General features: G+C 35.9%; 1 pseudogene across 1 annotated transcript in view; it reads right to left on the minus strand.

The window, feature by feature from the left end:
- Nucleotides 1-6,368: 6,368 nt before the first annotated feature.
- Nucleotides 6,369-20,067, minus strand: part of HERC2P3 (HERC2 pseudogene 3) — a 97,785-nt pseudogene continuing 84,086 nt past the window's right edge. The window contains exon 26 of the transcript NR_036432.1: nucleotides 6,369-6,702. The product of NR_036432.1 is annotated as an HERC2 pseudogene 3 (transcript). The remainder of the gene's footprint in view (nucleotides 6,703-20,067) is intronic.

Here is a 20,067-nt window from a genome sequence, read left to right on the forward strand (position 1 = left end):
TTTTATTGAAGCATAAAAAGAATTTGGAAAAATTCTCAAACACCAGGACATAGAATCACAGTAAATCACAATCTGCCCGACCCCATGATCCTTTTAGGCAATTAACTCCGATGACAACCACATTCTTACCTGAAACGATAGATAGATTTTGCTTGTCCTTGATATTATATTACTGGAATTATAAGATATGCATGTTTTTTGCCTCTGGCTTATTTCATCAAAATCTTTGTGAATTTTATACAAATTTATGTGCATAGTTGTATTTTGTTTGTTTTCAGTTCCACAGAATACAAATATACCACAATTCATAAACTCATTTTATTGCATACAGAGCGTAAGTGATAATTCTAGAAAATGTCCTTTGTTGAAGGTATGTACACATTTATGTTTGGTATGATTGCAAATATGAGACATATGGTATAAATATGTTCAATAGATACTATCAAAAAGTGTTCCAATGTGGTTTTTTTTTAATGAAACTCTCGGCAGATTTAATTTTTTTAATTGTGGTAAAATATACTTAATATAAAATTTGTTATATTCAACTATTTTTATGTGTACAATTTATTGGCATCAATTACAACATAATGTTGTGCAACCATTACTACTATCTTTTTCCAAAAATTTCCTCACCTAAACAGAAACACTGTACCCATTAAGCAATATCTTTCCATTTCTGCCTTTCCCCTGGTAATCTCTTGTACATTCTTTTTCAATGAATTTGCCTTGTCTGGATAATTCATGTAAGTGGTATCATGTAATATTTTCCCAGGCAACTTAAATCACTTAGCACAGTATTTTCAAGGTTCATTCATGCGGTAGCATGTATCAGAACATCATTTCTTTCTCGGACTGAATAATATTCCATTGCATTCATATACCACATTTTCTTTATACATTCTTCTGTTGACGGACATTTGGGTTATTTCAATCTTTTGGCTATTGTAAATAATGCTGCAATGAACATTGGTATAAAAGTATCTGAGTCCCTGGGTATATATCTGAAAGTGGAATTACCAAGTTCTATGGTAATTGTGTAGAGGTATTTAGCTTTTTGAGACACCATCAAGCTATTTTTCACAGCAACTGCACTATTTACACTTCCATCTGAAATTTATGAGTGTTCTAATTTCGGCACATCCTGGAAATTTGTTAGTTTCTTAATTAATTAAATATTTTTTATTATAACCATATTAGTAGGCATGAAGTAATATCTCATTGATTATGATTTCCATTTCCCAAATGATTAATGATGTTGAGCATCTTTTCATATGCTTATTGCGCATTTATAAATATTATTTGAAGAAATGTAAACTTAAGCCAATTACAAAAATTTTATTGGATTGTCCCTTTGTTGTTGAATTGTAATTCTTTATATATTCTGGATATTGAATATTTATCAGATATATGATTTTCAAATATTTTCTCCCATCTTGTAGGTAGTCTTTTCACTTTCTTGATAATGTCCTTTGTTGCACAAAAGATTCTAATTTTGTTAAATAATTTGTTAATTCTTTTGTTTCTTGTACTTTTGGTGTCATATCTAAGATTTCCTTGACAAATCTAAGGTTAAGAATATTTATCTGCATGATTTCCTTTAAGAATTTTATGATTTTGTCTCTTATATTTAAGTCCTTGACCCATTTTGAGTTCATTTTTTAATACAGCTTAACTTTTTTTTTCTGCATGTGGAAATTCAGTTACTGTAGCATCATTTGTTGAAGCCAGCGGTAATTATGAGTGTTTCAATTATTCCACATTCTCATAAAGATGTAGTGTTCTCTGTGCTTCTATTTTTCTGTTATGTAAGGGTTTTATACTTTGGTTATAATTTGTATTTAAATGTACAATTATATTTACTGTGAAGGTCAGTACCCTTTCATATGTTTATTGGACATTTGGATGTCCTATTTTATAAAGTGCATGTTCTAGCATTTGTCTCACTTTTCAAATGTGAAATGCTAATTTGTTTATATATGTTGGATAAGAGGCTTTTGTGGCTTAATTTCTTATTCTCTTAATGGTGACTTTTGAAATTCTTAGTTGTATTATAATAAAATTTTTCATCTCTTTTCATTGTGATTAATCCTTTTCGGTGTTAAATTTTTTTGCTAGCCCAAATTCATAAAGATATTTTTCTGTACTGTCTTCTAGCAGTGTTAATTTGTACATTTATATTTCCACTCAATTTGTATTTATTTTGTATATAGTATAATATAGGAATCTATTAATAGATTCTTTTTTGAAAATATCAATAAACATATAAGTGGCCCAGCAGCAATTATTGAAAAGGCCATTTTTCTCTTATTGTACTTTACATTTTTTTGATCAGCTTGTCTATACTTTTACCAATTTTACACTGTGCTAATTACTAGAGCGTTGCAATAAATCTTGATATAAATTGGAATGAGTCATTTAGCTTTCTTTTTCCTCTTAACATTGTTTGGCTATGTAAGACCCTTCATATTTCTAAACTAATATTGGAAAGAATTTGCCAACCTCAACAAAACAACAGAAAATTGTACCTAGTTTTGATCGATATCACATTGGATCTAAATATTTAGAAAGAATTGTGATTTGTATAATGTTATGTATTTTCATAAAATCACATTGTATACCTGTACTTGTACAGGTTTGTTGTACATATGTATGTCGTGTATGTATATACACAAAAATATATTCTGCTATTTCTTACAGCACAGTTTTGCAGCATTTGGTGTCAATTTAAATATAATTTATTATAATTATTCTCAGTTATTTGATATTCTTAATTTTATTATGAATATTTTAAACTTTTATTTTCTAATTTTTATTGCATATAAGAAAAATTAATCTATATATTGACTTTTATACAACCAACATGCTAAATTTATTTATTGATTCCTATAGTTTGCCAATGGATGCTTTTGGATTTTCTATATATGTAATTGTATGATCTCTGAATAATGAGAGTTATTTCTTCCTTTGTAATCTTGTGGTCTTTATTTCTTTTTCTTTTATTACTACACTAAGTAGAACTTGTAATATCATTAATAGAATTTGTAAGATCAGGGACACATGGCATTTCTGATGCCAAAGGAAATACATTCAACAATTCACTGTAACTATAAAATTTACAGTATGTTTTTGGTTAATATTCTTCGTCATATTGTATAAATTTCCATCTACTTACATATTATCATGAAACATATTGATGGTTGCTTAATTTTATCAAATATTCTTCCTAAATATATCAATAATATGTTTTCTTTTTATTAATATGTAATAAATTCTATTCATTGATTGAAAAATATTAAGCTGCTCTCACATTCCTGTAATAAACCTTAATTGGCTTTGTGATATATTATCAGTTTTCATAAATATATGAATACAGTTGACCCTTTAACAACATAGGTTTGAGCTGCATGGGTCCACTTATATACAGATTTTCTTTTTGCCACTGCCACACCTGAGACAGCAAAACCAAACCCTCCTCTGCCTTTTCCTCCTCAGCCTAGTCAATATGAAGACAATGAGGATAAAGACCTTTCAAACGATTCCACTTCCACTTGATTAATAATAAATATATTTTATGTTCCTTATTTTTTTAATAAAATTTTCTTTTCTCTAGCTTGATTTATTGTAAGAATACAGTATATAATACATACAACATACAAAATATGTGTTAATCAACTGTTTATATTATCAGTAAGGCTTCTAGTCAACAGTATGCTATGAGTAGTTACATTTTGGGGGAGTCAAAAGTTACGCACAAATTTTCAATTGCATGGATAGGTCAGCATCCCTAACCTTCACATTGTTCAAGGGTCAGTTGTAAAATGATTTCATCAGTGTTGGTAATACATTATTCTGTGATTTTTTTTCTACTGATGTTCTTGCCAAAGTTTACTATAAAGAATATGATAGCTTTAAAACAGGACATGTGAAGTGTTCTCATGCTTTTTATGTTCCCTAAAATACTTTTTGTAATATCAGTGCTATTTATTTTCTAAAAATTAGAAATAATTCATAGGGCACATCCTGTGTACCTCAAATTGTGTTGAGGGTATTAATGAATTCATTGTTTTACATATATATAGGACTATTTAGGCTTTCTATTTCTTCTTGAGTCTGTTTCAACAAGTTTTTCTTTTGTGATATATGCATATGTCATATAAAGTATCAAATATATTGGCCTGAAATATTTTTAATCTTCTTCTCTTTAATTTGTAAGAAAGACCTATAGTAATTATCCAGTTTTCATTAGTGATATTAGAATGTATTTCTTTATTTGATTTTACTTTTTCTTTTTTTTTTTATTATACTTTAAGTTTTAGGGTACATGTGCACATTGTGCAGGTTACATATGTATACATGTGCCATGCTGGTGCCCTGCACCCACTAACTCGTCATCTAGCATTAGGTATATCTCCCAATGCTATCCCTCCCCCCTCCCCCCACCCCACCACAGTCCCCAGAGTGTGATATTCCCCTTCCTGTGTCCATGTGATCTCATTGTTCAGTTCCCACCTATGAGTGAGAATATGCGGTGTTTGGTTTTTTGTTCTTGTGATAGTTTACTGAGAATGATGTTTTCCAATTTCATCCATGTCCCTACAAAGGACATGAACTCATCATTTTTTATGGCTGCATAGTATTCCATGGTGTATATGTGCCACATTTTCTTAATCCAGTCTATCATTGTTGGACATTTGGGTTGGTTCCAAGTCTTTGCTATTGTGAATAATGCCGCAATAAACATACGTGTGCATGTGTCTTTATAGCAGCATGATTTATAGTCCTTTCAAACATAAAAAAATGGTAATTTTGTATATATCCAGGAATCTACTATAATAATTATCAAGTCATGATCAATCTTGTTATTTTATCTATACTCCCACCCATTTTGAAACTGCATTGTCCATATTATTTTGAATTAAATCCCATGAATCTTATGATTTCATTTATACATATGTTTGTGTGTTTTTTTTTTTTTTTTTGGCAGAGTCTCACTCACTCTGTTGCCCAAGCTGTAGCTAGAGTACAGTGGCATGATCTCAGCTCACTGGAACCTCTGCCTCCCAGGTTCAAGCAATTCTCCTGCCTCAGCCTCCCAAGAAGCTGGGATTCTGGGAGTGGTGGCACATGCCTGTAATCCCAGCTACTCATGAGAATCACTTGAATCTGGAGGCAGAGGTTGCAGTGAGCCAAGATCGTGCCACTGCACCCCAGCCTAGGTGAAAAAGTGAGACTCCATCTTGAAAAAATAAATAAAAATAAATACATTAAAAAGTACGCAAATTCAACTTCCGGGGTGTTTGTCCATTTTCCTAACTTTTTAAAAAGTAATTCTTTTCTTGTGTTACTTTTTCCTCTGTCATCGTGGTAGTTAGTTAACACTAGTAGGACCCATGGGTTATGCTTCAGTGTTTATGCCTTTTTGTAGTTATTTCCTCCTGAATCCAAGCTTAGCTTATAACTCAAAGACTTTAGAATAGAATATAGCAAAAATATTGCTGTGCAATCCTAGCCTAGGCTTTAACAAAGTATAAAACTTCTACTTACGAACTCTTAGAAGTCCTAAAGTTTCACATGAGAATTCTAGATGAAACTGTGTAAAGAGAAAATATGAAGAGGTCATGTGGAGAGAGAACCTTGAGAACTGAAGAATCCAGACATTCCTCGAATCTAGCTCTTCTAGCCAGCCCTCCACCGCCCAAATCTCCCTTGCTGAGGCACCAAAAAGCTAACGAAGCTGTTGCAGCCTTTCCAGTGACAGCAGGCACTGAAGCGAGCGTAGATAAGCCCACTGCCTCTGTAAAATCCTGACCCTCAGAATCATGAGAAATAACAAGTGATTGCTGTTTTAAGCCACAATATTTGAAAGGTAGTTTGCTCCATGGAAGAAGATTAACAAAAGATAGAATGACACCAGAAGAGGGGTGCTTCAGCAACAAAATATCAAAATATGCAGCACTGGCTTTATGATCAGGTGGAAGTTATGGACTAAAAACCTTGAGGAAACTGTTAGAAAGAGCAAAAAACAAATGGACCTTAATGATATTGGCACAAAAATCAGTGAAGCTGCCACCTTCTTATGTGGAAGATAGCAAATGTGGCTAATAAACTTGCAAATCTGGCTAATAAAATTTCCGTGCAGAGTGGTGAATGCACCAAGTGGTTCCTTTAATTGCCTACAATAAAGAATGTGAGAAGTGAGATGAGCTAAAAGAGGAATTGCTGGAATTTTTTTTTCTCGATATGCCCTCAATCCATTCTAGTACTGTAAAGGCAACATTCTATGGGTTGTTGGTTTCTCTGAAGGAAATGAAAGTAAGCAACAAGAAGGCATCCAGGGAGAAATCATTCCACAGAAGTAATAGGTAGCATTTCGGATGTTACGCTTTTATTAGCATCATCATATCTTAATAATGAGAGGACCTCTGGAGGTCTTTTAGCTCTTTGGAAACAGGTCCACGCATATTTGAAATATTGAAAACTGATCCAGAGCAGAAGAATAAATTTCCCAATATCACACAAGCTGGTGAGAAGCAGAGCTGAAAATAAAATCTAATTTTCCTGGCATCCTTCCTGCTGCACAGCATTGAAGTTCTCTTCCTTTTGCAAAGTGAGACAGGGTAGTGATAGAGATATCTCAATGCTTAACTGTCAAACTGAACCCAGGCTGCTTGATAGCGTCACAGGGAGAAATAATCTAAAGGGCTGAAATGAAGACAGGAAAATAGTTCTCAGCAAGTGGCATCAACTTATTTGGTATTTTTTTCTCAGCTTATTGTTACAGACATGTTAGTGGCAAATCTGAGAAGGTTCTTTTGTGAATCAGGTTATGGCTATGATTGTTCAAAAAGCTCATTACCAATTTATGAAAAGCAGCAAAACTCATTTTCTCTTAATGTGAAATCACTTCAGCCTGTCAGTAGAGAAAGAATTGTTGAAAAGTGAATTGACCACATACGGATCCATTCTTTCTTTTAAAAAGAAATGAAAAAGTCATCTAAAAGGGAAATATCTCTCAATAATGAGATATATGTAACACTCAGCCGGAGTTAAGCCCCAGTTAAGATGGTTTTCTGAATTGGGCTACTTTTCTCATTTGCCTACTGTGGGTACCACACAGGTAGACTTCATAAACCTGAGTTATCTGTCTACTAAAGAGCAGCAGGGGCTCTTTGACTCAGGATTTCATTAAAACAACAAAAGGATTTTGGGGAATAACTGAATTCACTCTCTGGAACTAGAGATACATAGTTTAATACATACATATTCTTTCCATAAATTGAATGACTTAAGTGATCAAAATGAGTTCTGATCACAATTCCTGGTTCCTCCACATTAAGAAATAAACAATGATTGTTACCCATAGTGGCCGTAGAGATAGGTCTATGCTGAGTGACACTGTTTTTCTGTGTTCTGTCTATGGTTCCTATGACCTCTCTCATGCTCTGTCACTTGGGATAGCTAGCTCTTATTCTAGAGTCTTTCAAAGTCTTATTTTTCACACCAGAGCATTTGGCCAAGGTTCAGCATTTAACCACTGTGTCTTTGTCTTTTTTTTCCTATAGCTTTATCTTCCACTCTCCATTGAAAATCCCTGGATATCTACTTAATTCATTAAAGTCAGGAGAGGTTGTGGGCACTGCAGCTTTCTGATTATTTTAAGATTGGCTATCTGCATTATCTCTGCCATGATCATCATTGGTCTAATCCCTCACTTATTTGTTTGTTTATTTTTAAGGACTTAATTACTTTAGAGCAGTTTTCGGTTCATAGCAAAACTGAAAGGATGTAACAGGGATTTCCCATAAGTCCTCTGCCCCCTCACATGCAGAGCCTTTCATTATCAATATCCCCTACCAGCATGGGACAGTTGTTACAAATGATGAACCTACATTGACATATCATAATCACCAAACTCCATAGTTTACATTAGGGTTTACCCTCACTGCTGTACATTACATAAGTTGGAAAAATTTATAATGATATGTGCCACCATTAAGGTACCATGCAGAGTATTTTCCCTGCTCTAAAAATAGTCTCTGCTCTATGTATTCAACCTCTTCACCCCCAACTCCTGGCAACCACTGATCTTTTTACTGTTTTCATAATTTTGCCTTTTCCGGAATGTTGTATCATTGGAAATTTACAGATCGGCTTCTGCGACTAAGGAACATGCACTTAAGATTCTGACATGTTTTTTCATAGCTTGATAGCTCATTTCTTTTTAGTGCTGAATAACATTCTATTGTTTGGATGTAATGCAGGCTATTTATCCTTTCACCTTCTGAAGGATGGATATCTTGGTTGCTTTCCAAGTTTGGGCAATTAGCAATAAAGGTGCTTTAAGCATTCACACGCAGGCTTTTGTGTGAACAAATATTTTCCATTTCTTTGGGTAAATACCAAGGAATGTGATTACTGGTTAGTATGGTAAGAGTATGTTTAGTTTTGTAAGAAACTGCCAAACTCTCTTCTAAAGAAGCTGTACCATTTTGCATTTCCGCCAGCAACAAATGAAAGCTCCACTCCAGCATTTGGTCACGACGGTATTCTGGATTTTCCTGGATGCTAACAGATGTACTGCTCCTTTGTTTTTTGATAAATGAGTACATGTATCTTCAGAGGAGAAGTGTGCTAGTTGCTTATAGCAAGAGTATAAATCAACAACATCTTCATGAAGCAACAGTTGTATAATTTTAAGACATTAAGATAGATTTATAGTAAATTGATCACGAATATTTTATAGAATATAATGAAAAAATTGATAGGTTTTAGATATAATTACAGATTCCAAAAGTATTGTTTGAAATGAGCCACTAACTCCATTATCCACTGAGGGCAATTTTATAAAAAAATATGAGACCAATAACAATAATAACAAAAACAAAAACTTGATACCTATAGGTGTATTTACATTTTGAAAAGCTATTAAATTCTATAGTTTTAAATCTAAACTGCATTGCTCACTGATGTATCTATTTGTGTGTGATCAGCAGACAGGTTTAACACTTTTCGGTTTATATTTTTCTTCATATATATGATAATTCACTCAGTTGAGTGTTTCTAAGTGAACATCCATCATTTGTTAATATCTTATAAGGCCATGTAATCAGACAAGGCCTAATTCTTGAATCTGAATGCCTAAGATACGTGTTCTGGTGTGACCACAACTACACTTTCTAGGTATTTATTGAAAATGAGACTACCACATATCTGCATAAGAACCTTCAGGAGCATGCCATCAGGAAAAAAACAAAAAACAAAAACAAAACAAAACAAAAAAAAAACAGTGTGAGAACAGTGACCAGCAAACTAGACTCCAGGAATCCCCTGAAACAAGTTTTCATATCAGCACTTAAGTCATTCTTTAAAATAATGTTATAAATTGCGCACTTGATTCTCTAGATTCTAATTATTCTAATTTTAAGCCATTAAACGCATAGGTAACCATGACACTTCCATAATCCTTTCGTTTTTTTTTTATTGTACTTTAAGTTTTATGGTACATGTGCACAATGTGCAGGTTTGTTACATATGTATCCATGTGCCATGTTGGTGTGCTGCACCCATTAACTCATCATTTAGCATTAGGTGTATCTCCTAATGCTGTCCCTCCCCCCTCCCCCCACCCCACAACAGTCCCCGGAGTGTGATGTTCCCCTTCCTGTGTCCATGCGTTCTCATTGTTCAATTCCCACCTATGAGTGAGAACATGTGGTGTTTGGTTTTTTGTCCTTGCGATAGTTTACTGAGAATGATGATTTCCAATTTCATCCATGTCCCTACAAAGGACATGAACTCACCATTTTTTATGGCTGCATAGTATTCCGTGGTGTATATGTGCCACATTTTCTTAATCCAGTCTATCGTTGTTGGACATTTGGGTTGGTTCCAAGTCTTTGCTATTGTGAATAGTACCACAATAAACATACGTGTGCATGTGTCTTTATAGCAGCATGATTTATAGTCCTTTGGGTATATACTCAGTAATGGGATGGCTGGGTCAAATGGTATTTCTAGTTCTAGATCCCTGAGGAATTGCCACACTGACTTCCACAATGGTTGAACTAGTTTACAGTCCCACCAGCAGTGTAAAAGTGTTCCTATTTCTCCACATCCTCTCCAGCACCTGTTGTTTCCTGACTTTTTAATGATGGCCATTCTAACTGGTGTGAGATGGTATCGCATTGTGGTTTTCATTTGCATTTCTCTGATGGCCAGTGATGACGAGCATTTTTTCATGTGTTTTTTGGCTGCACAAATGTCTTCTTTTGAGAAGTGTCTGTTCATGTCCTTCGCCCACTTTTTGATGGGGTTGTTTGTTTTTTTCTTGTAAATTTGTTTGAGTTCATTGTAGATTCTGGATATTAGCCCTTTGTCAGATGAGTAGGTTGCGAAAATTTTCTCCCATTTTGTAGGTTGCCTGTTCATTCTGATGGTAGTTTCTTTTGCTGTGCAGAAGCTCTTTAGTTTAATTAGATCCCGTTCGTCAATTTTGGCTTTTGTTGCCACTGCTTTTGGTGTTTTAGACATGAAGTCCTTGCCCATGCCTATGTCCTGAATGGTAATGCCTACGTTGTCTTCTAGGGTTTTTATGGTTTTAGGTCTAACGTTTAAATCTTTAATCCATCTTGAATTGATTTTTGTATAAGGTGTAAGGAAGGGATCCAGTTTCAGCTTTCTACATATGGCTAGCCAGTTTTCCCAGCGCCATTTATTAAATAGGGAATCGTTTCCCCATTTCTTGTTTTTGTCAGGTTTGTCAAAGATCAGATAGTTGTAGATATGCGGCATTATTTCTGAGAGCTCTGTTCTGTTCCATTGACCTATATCTCTGTTTTGGTACCAGTACCATGCTGTTTTGGTTACTGTAGCGTTGTAGTATAGTTTGAAGTCAGGTAGCGTGATGCCTCCAGATTTGTTCTTTTGGCTTAAGATTGACTTGGCGATGCAGGCTCTTTTTTGGTTCCATATGAACTTTAAAGTCGTTTTTTCCAATTCTGTGAAGAAAGTCATTGGTAGCTTGATGGGGATGGCATTGAATCTATAAATTACCTTGGGCAGTATGGCCATTTTCATGATATTGATTCTTCCAACCCAAGAGCATGGAATGTTCTTCCATTTGTTTGTATCCTCTTTTATTTCATTGAGCAGTGGTTTGTAGTTCTCCTTGAAGAAGTCCTTCATGTCCTTTGTAAGTTGGATTCCTAAGTATTTTATTCTCTTTGAAGCAATTGTGAATGGGAGTTCACTCCTGATTTGGCTCTCTGTTATTGGTGTATAACAATGCTTGTGATTTTTGTACATTGATTTTGTATCCTGAGACTTTGCTGAAGTTGCTTATCAGCTTAAGGAGATTTTGGGCTGAGACAATGGGGTTTTCTAGATATACAATCATGTCATCTGCAAACAGGGAAAATTTGACTTCCTCTTTTCCTAGTTGAATACCATTTATTTCCTTCTCCTGCCTAATTGCCCTGGCCAGAACTTCCAACACTATGTTGAATAGGAGTGGTGAGAGAGGGCATCCCTGTCTTGTGCCAGTTTTCACAGGGAATGCTTCCAGTTTTTGCCCATTCAGTATGATATTGGCTGTGGGTTTGTCATAGATAGCTCTTACTATTTTGAGATACGTCCCATCAATACCTAATTTATTGAGAGTTTTTAACATGAAGGGTTGTTGAATTTTGTCAAAGGCCTTTTCTGCATCTATTTAGATGATCATGTGGTTTTTGTCTTTGGTTCTGTTTATATGCTGGATTACATTTATTGATTTGTGTATGTTGAACCAGCCTTGCATCCCAGGGATGAAGCCCACTTGATCATGGTGGATAAGCTTTTTGATGTGCTGCTGGATTCGGTTTGCCAGTATTTTATTGAGGATTGTTGCATCGATGTTCATCAAGGATATTGGTCTAAAATTCTCTTTTTTGGTTGTGTCTCTGCCCGGCTTTGGTATCAGGATGATGCTGGCCTCATAAAATGAGTTAGGGAGGATTCCCTCTTTTTCTATAGATTGGAATAGTTTCAGAAGGAATAGTACCAGTTCTTCCTTGTACCTCTGGTAGAATTTGGCTGTGAATCCATCTGGTCCTGGACTCTTTTTGGTTGGTAAGCTATTGATTATTGCCACAATTTCAGCTCCTGTTATTGGTCTATTCAGAGATTCAACTTCTTCCTGGTTTAGTCTTGGAAGGGTGTATGTGTCGAGGAATTTATCCATTTCTTCTAGATTTTCTAGTTTATTTGCGTAGAGGTATTTGTAGTATTCTCCGATGGTAGTTTGTATTTCTGTGGGATCGGTGGTGATATCCCCTTTATCATTTTTTATTGCATCTATTTGATTCTTCTTATTAGTCCTGCTAGCGGTCTATCAATTTGGTTGATCTTTTCAAAAAAAACCAGCTCCTGGATTCATTAATTTTTGGAAGGGTTTTTTGTGTCTCTATTTCCTTCAGTTCTGCTCTGATTTTAGTTATTTCTTGCCTTCTGCTAGGTTTTAAATGTGTTTGCTCTTGCTTTTCTAGTTCTTTTAATTGTGCTGTTAGGGTGTCAATTTTGGATATTTCCTGCTTTCTCTTGTGAGCATTTAGTGCTATAAATTTCCCTCTACACACTGCTTTGAATGTGTCCCAGAGATTCTGGTATGTTGTGTCTTTGTTCTCGTTGGTTTCAAAGAACATCTTTATTTCCACCTTCATTTCGTTATGTACCCAGTAGTCGTTCAGGAGCAGGTTGTTCTGTTTCCATGTAGTTGAGTGGTTTTGAGTGAGTTTCTTAATCCTGAGTTCTAGTTTGATTGCACTGTGGTCTGAGAGACAGTTTGTTGTAATTTCTGTTCTTTTACATTTGCTGAGGAGAGCTTTACTTCCAACTATGTGGTCAATCTTGGAATAGGTGTGGTGTGGTGCTGAAAAAAATGTATATTCTGTTGATTTGGGGTGGAGAGTTCTGTAGATGTCTATTAGGTCCACTTGGTGCAGAGCTGAGTTCAGTTCCTGGGTATCCTTGTTAACTTTCTATCTCGTTGATCTGTCTAATGTTGACAGTGGGGTGTTAAAGTCTCCCATTATTATTGTGTGGGAGTCTAAGTCTCTTTGTAGGTCACTCAGGACTTGCTTTATGAATCTGGATGCTCCTGTATTGGGTGCATACATATTTAGGATACTTAGCTCTTCTTTTTGAATTGATCCCTTTACCATTATGTAATGGCCTTCTTTGTCTCTTTTGATCTTTGTTGGTTTAAAGTCTGTTTTATCAGAGACTAGGATTGCAACTCCTGCCTTTTTTTGTTTTCTATTTGCTTGGTAGATCTTCCCGCATCCCTTTATTTTGAGCCTATGTGTGTCTCTGCATGTGAGATGGGTTTCCTGAATACAGCACACTGATGGGTCTTGACTCTTTATCCAATTTGCCAGTCTGTGTCTTTTAATTGGAGCATTTAGTCCATTTACATTTAAAGTTAATATTGTTATGTGTGAATTTGATCATGTCATTATGATGTTAGCTGGTTATTTTGCTCGTTAGTTGATGCAGTTTCTTCCTAGCCTCGATGGTCTTTACAATTTGGCATGATTTTACAGTGGCTGGTACCAGTTTTTCCTTTCCACGTTTAGTGCTTCCTTCAAGAGCTCTTTTAGGGCAGGCCTGGTAGTGACAAAATCTCTCAGCATTTGCTTGTCTGTAAAGGATTTTATTTCTCCTTCACTTATGAAGCTTAGTTTGGCTGGATATGAAATTCTGGGTTGAAAATTCTTGTCTTTAAGAATGTTGAATATTGGCCCCCACTCTCTTCTGGCTTGTAGAGTTTCTGCCTAGAGATCCGCTGTTAGTCTGATGGGCTTCACTTTGTGGGTAACCCAACCTTTCTCTCTGGCTGCCCTTAACATTTTTTTCTTCATTTCAACTTTGGTGAATCTGATAATTATGTGTCTTGGAGTTGCTCTTCTCGAGGAGTATCTTTGTGGCATTCTCTGTATTTCCTGAATCTGAATGTTGGCCTGCCTTGCTAGATTGGGGAAGTTCTCCTGGATAATATCCTGCAGAGTGTTTTCCAACTTGGTTCCATTCTCCCCATCACTTTCAGGTACACCAATCAGACGTAGATTTGGTCTTTTCACGTAGTCCCATATTTCTTGGAGGCTTTGCTCATTTCTTTTTATTCTTTTTTCTCTAAACTTCCCTTCTCGCTTCATTTCATTCATTTCATCTTCCATTGCTGATACCCTTTCTTCCAGTTGATTGCGTCGGCTCCTGAGGCTTCTGCATTCTTCACGAAGTTCTCGAGCCTTGGCTTTCAGCTCCATCAGCTCCTTTAAGCACTTCTCCGTATTGGTTATTTTAGTTATACATTCATCTAATTCTTTTTCAAAGTTTTTAACTTCTTTGCCTTTGGCTTGAATTTCCTCCTGTAGCTCGGAGTAGTTTGATCATCTGAAGCCTTCTTCTCTCAACTCATCAAAGTCATTCTCCATCCAGCTTTGTTCCACTGCTGGTGAGGAACTGCGTTCCTTTGGAGGAGGAGAGGCGCTCTGTTTTTTAGAGTTTCCAGTTTTTCTGCTCTGTTTTTTCCCCATCTTTGTGGTTTTATCTACTTTTGGTCTTTGATGATGGTGATGTACAGATGGGTTTTTGGTGTGGATGTCCTTTCTGTTTGTTAGTTTTCCTTCTAACAGACAGGACCCTCAGCTGCAGGTCTGTTGGAGTTTGCTAGAGGTCCACTCCAGACACTGTTTGCCTGGGTATCAGCAGTGGTGGCTGCAGAACAGCGGTTTTACTTGAACCGCGAATGCTGCTGCCTGATCGTTCCTCTAGAAGTTTTGTCTCAGAGGAGTACCTGGCCGTGTGAGGTGTCAGTCTGCCCCTACTGGGGGGTGCCTCCCAGTTAGGCTGCTCGGGGGTCAGGGACCCACTTGAGGAGGCAGTCTGCCTGTTCTCAGATCTCCAGCTGCGTGCTGGGAGAACCACTACTCTCACACTTCCATAATCTTTTCAAAAATTACTGAAGGTGAAAGTTAAATCTGCCATTTTGTCTACTTTTTATATAATAACTATTCCAGAATATGACTGAAGAAATAAACTTTGTATCAAAAGATCTAAATTCAGATAGTAGCGTCCCAATCTATGAATGGGAGGATACTTAGAAGTTATCTAAACTCTCTATCAGTTTTCTTATCCATAAAATAAGAATAATGTGGTTTAATAAACCTTTTGCAAAAATTAACATACATGTTGATATATAAAAAGACTTTTTTTTTTTTTTTTGAGACAAGGTCTTGCTTTGTCTCCTAGGCTGGAGTGCAGTGGTGTAATCTGGCTCACTGCAGCCTCAAACTTCTGGACCCAACAATCCTGCCACCTCAGCCTAGTTGTCTTCTTCAGTAGCAGAGAAAGTTTAGTGGGCATTGCCTCTTCACTCATCTCTGACTAAAATGGAAACAACCAATTAAGAATAAAGTAATCCTTTTATGGAACATTTTCATTTTACTATGCAAACATCTGAATTTGAACACATGAAAATCAGTGATAGCCAAAACAGCTATAAAGGATGAAATTTAATGGGGGGAAGAAGCAACATGGTCCTTTTATTTGCAGCTCATTAAACTCACTGGTTGTGTAGTAGAATTCCACGTCTATTATTAGGTTAGTTTGGATTGTGTGTTGGGCACACAATGAAGCAGTCAGATGTATAGACTAGGGCAATAAACACAGGCGAAAGTTGAGAATATGACTTATTTTTCTCTGGGATTTCAAAATCTAATTGAGCAGAAAGACATGAAAAAGGCAGCTGATGTATATTTTCATATAAGAAGTAGTCAACTTAAACACAGGGTGTAATGAGAGAAGGCACTATCTAACACAAACTGGGAGTGAGGGGGGCAGTTGACTGAGTAAGTGGGGAGCATTCAGCAGAAAGTGGCTGCTTGCATAGTATGAGGAGACTTTATACCAAAACAAAGATGAAGGTCATCTAAAGAAAAGAATACAGTGGTAGAAGTGGAAAAGCTTATTGATACATACAATCCTAGATAAGAGTCCAATATGGCCCAAGAGGAGGTAAAATAATTAGTCTCCTCTACTCAGCTCTGCAGTGCTGTAGACTCTTCCAACTTCAGGTTTATTACTGTCGAAAAGAGAAGCAGAGGCTACCTAAGTGGGCCAGAACACCTACCACATAATGAGTTAGGCTGTAAAAATGGTATTATCACTAAAAATTTGACATCTACGAAGTTTTTATGTGTTCTCTATTCATAACATTTTTAGGGCATAAGGATAGACAAATGTCTTTCTAGAGATTACCTGGGATAAACACTAGTGTGGCAGGATTAGCAAATGCTCATATTCCAGGGCATCATGCTTCCACCCCATTTAAATAATCTGATTGTTTCATTACTCTTGAATCAGCTAGCTCTTGCAATTGCTAAGACTGATTGTAAAGGAGTTCAATCAACATGTCTTTTTCAAAAATAAAAGTAAAAATTTCATGTTTGGCCTGGCATGGTGGTTCATGCCTGTAATCCCGGCACTTTGGGAGGCTGAGGTGGGAGGATCACCTGAGGTCAGGAGTTCGTGACCAGCCTGGCCAACATGGAGAAACCCCATCTCCACTAAAAATACAAAAATTAGCTGGGCATGGTGGCACGTGCCTGTAATCCCAGGCTGAGGCAGGAAAATCGCTTGAACCTGGGAGGCGCAGGGTGCAGTGAGCCAAGATAGCACCATCGCACTCCAGCCTGGGGGACAAGAGCAAGACTTGCCTCAAAAAACAAAACAAAAAAAAAACCCGTCACGTGTTGTTGTTACAACATTAGGGCAAGCTTTCTATAGAAGAGTAATAAAAGGCCACTAAACAATTACCAAAATCCTGCTACTCAGAAATGAAACCAAAATACACACATTGTTATTATTTAGTGAACAGCATTCTTCATATTTCTCTGTGGAGACAGACATATGAATAGACATGTAAATAAACAGAGTAATAGATCAATTCATACAATCCCACAAATGAGATTCTGTACCACACTACGTTATTTTTACTTTTATAATATTTAATTTAATGAATATAATAAAGCAGAAGTAAAATTATAGCAAAAATTATTCTGGCACAAAAAAATTTAATTCTAAAATGTAGTTCTAAATTAAAAACAGCAAAAGCAACAAAAACAGAAGATAAAAATAAGAGTATTGTGTCATTTTTTCTACAATTCAACTTGAAATAGTGACTTCATATTCATATTTAATAGAAGAGGATATAATATTTGTACCTCTATTCTCCATATGGATCGATTTATTTTGTTATATTGTTAAGTTTACATTGCCAATGCTTTAAACAGTTATTCTCCTTTAACCATGATTGACAAAGATTTTGTTTCATTCTAATTTAATTTCAATATTTAAATAGAGGGTAATTTTCAGCATCATTCATTTCACTGAATCTTCACATTCTTGAGTCTGTTATTTTAATTTCTGTCTGGCTTGACGTGTTTTCAAGTCAAGAGTGAGAAGTAAAGCTCCTCGGTGTTTTCTTCCATTACACTTGCAAGAACACATGACTGGCTTCAGAATTCTAGGGTCACATTCCTTTCTGTCAGAATTTAGCCGTCACTGCCTCACTGCCTTCCATCCAGCATGGAGCATTTCTGTGGAAAGTCTTCCACCCTAGAGGCCTCCATTTTGATCAGTTTTGGCTATTTATTCCAAAAATATACTGGACTTCAATTCTTCTTACTGATTTGTTTTCCTTTAGCAATTGTATTTCTTAATTTTCAAAAGCTTTTATGTATTTTATTTTTTGAATTTTTTTACTTGTTACAGCTTCCTCTACCTTTGAGATGTATAGGTGTTATAGATTTTCTCTCTCTGAACATAACTGCATATCATTTTTAAAAGTTTTTTCCCAGGCCTGTATTGTATCTTTTATTATAGATTTACTTGTAATTATTATTATTATTATTTTTACCTTGATCCCTGCCTTTCATGTTTGAGGTTACTGTCAAATCTCGGTTGTCTATTCATTTTTAAGATAGAGGAACTGTAAAACTTATTGGAGATGGTATTTGGGTGATGTTACATGTCTGCTTGTGAATTTCTCTATACTTATTACTACCAGTGTATGGATCTGAACAGAAGAAGTTATGAGAGTGATTTACAATTAATGTAAGTACAGTGAGATTTTACCCTTCTGTTTGGTAGACCTTATTCTCTTGTTTTGTGAATTGTGTCCCTACACCTGGCCCTTCTCTTGACATATTTCTCCAGAGAATAAATATCTAGCCTTATGCCTCATTCTAGAAAGAACAGGTACTGGACTCCGTGGGATGTAATTGGGAAATGGAAGCTCTTTGTTTCTTCTGTGAACTTTCACACCAGCCACCACCAACTACAGTAGTACTAGTGCTCATTCCTAAATTCATTTGTTCTGCAAAGTTGAATTGCTTGTTTCTTACTAGTTTCTGCAATTGTTTGAGGCTTTTTCACTCACAAGTTAGAGAATGAGACTTCAGCTAATTCTTTACTGTGTCTCCTTCTTGTTCTGTGTGTTTTTTGAAGGAGAAAGAAGTCAAAAGTTCTCTATCATCATAAAGTCAAAAATTCATATTTTATTTGTTTTGCTCTTTTCTTCGGAAACATCAAATTTATAGTACATATTGCTTTTCTTGTCATTTCTCTCCATTTTGTAATTTGTGTATGCAGAATTCTAAGATGACCTCTAAGAGTTTCACCCCCTGGTGTGTATGTCCCATGTAATTCCAACATCAAGGATGAGCAGACCTGTGACTATGAGGGATAGTTACTCTCATGAGTATATAAAGCTACATAAGACTTCTTCCTAGCCCACTGGAGAGAGATGCTTCTGCTGGTTTTGAGTAAGCAGCCATGTTGTCACAGGGCGTGGCCAACAGCCTGCAACAACACAGAGACCTCAGTCTTACACCTGTAATGAACTGAACTTTGCCAGCAACTGGATGAGAACTACAGGAAGCCAGTGCCTTAATGGCAGAATGATGGGCTCCTTAGCAGAAGACCTACATAACTCAGGGCTGGGCTCTGGACCCACAGAAATAGTAATTTCCGTGTTGTTTTGTGTTGTCTTGTTTTAAGCAACTACGTATGTGGTGATGGGTTATGTAGCAATGGAAAACTACTACCACACTTGATCATATAATTTTATTCTCCTGCTTTAACTTGATGCTATATGTTATGGCAGGACCATCTTTCCAATGGAATGTACTATATGCTCTGAGGCAGCCTACTCATGTGACTTTAATTTCCGTAATGGTTATAATATTTTACTTTTGTTGTAAGCTTCTCAAATTTACTTTTTATTTTTTCAAATTGCATGGCTTTTTAAACCCTATGTCTTTTTTTCCAACTTAAATTGTTGTAATAATATCATTCGTTTTCAATCATAAGGGAGTATTTGTATGAAATCTTCCTTCGTTTCTTGAGTGATTTCCTTTAGAATGTGTGCTCTTCATTAACCTATTGATTATCATCCTCTCCTCATCACCACCATCAATCACGCTTCTCTCTCCACCCCTTTCCCCAACTTTCACTCTCAGGATTTCAGAATATGTCTTCTCACTTCCTTCAGTCATTTGCCTATTTTTTTAAATTACTCTTTTATTTTAGATACAGGAGACACATGTGTAGGATTGTTACATGGGTATATTGGTCCCAAGTAGTGAGCATAGTACTCAGTAGGTAGTTTTTTAACCTGTGCCACTTTCCTCCCTTTTCTGTCTAGTTGTGTGCAGTATCTATTGTTCCCATGTTAATTTTCATGTGTGCTTAATGTTTAGCTCCAACATATACATGGGAATATGTGGAGTTTTGCTTTTTGTTCCTGTATTAATTTGCTTAGGACTATGGCCTCCAGGTCCATCTATGTTGCTGCATGGGACATGATTTCATTATACTTTATGCTGCATGGTATTCCATGATGTATATGTATCACATTTTCTTTATGCAATTCATTGTTGATGGGCACCTAGGTTAATCCATGTCTTTGCTATTGTGAATAGAGCTGTGATGCACATCTATATGCATGTGTCTTTTGGTAGAATGATC

The sequence above is a fragment of the Homo sapiens genome, chromosome 15 (assembly GCF_000001405.40).
Source record: "Homo sapiens chromosome 15, GRCh38.p14 Primary Assembly".
NCBI lineage: Eukaryota > Metazoa > Chordata > Mammalia > Primates > Hominidae > Homo > Homo sapiens.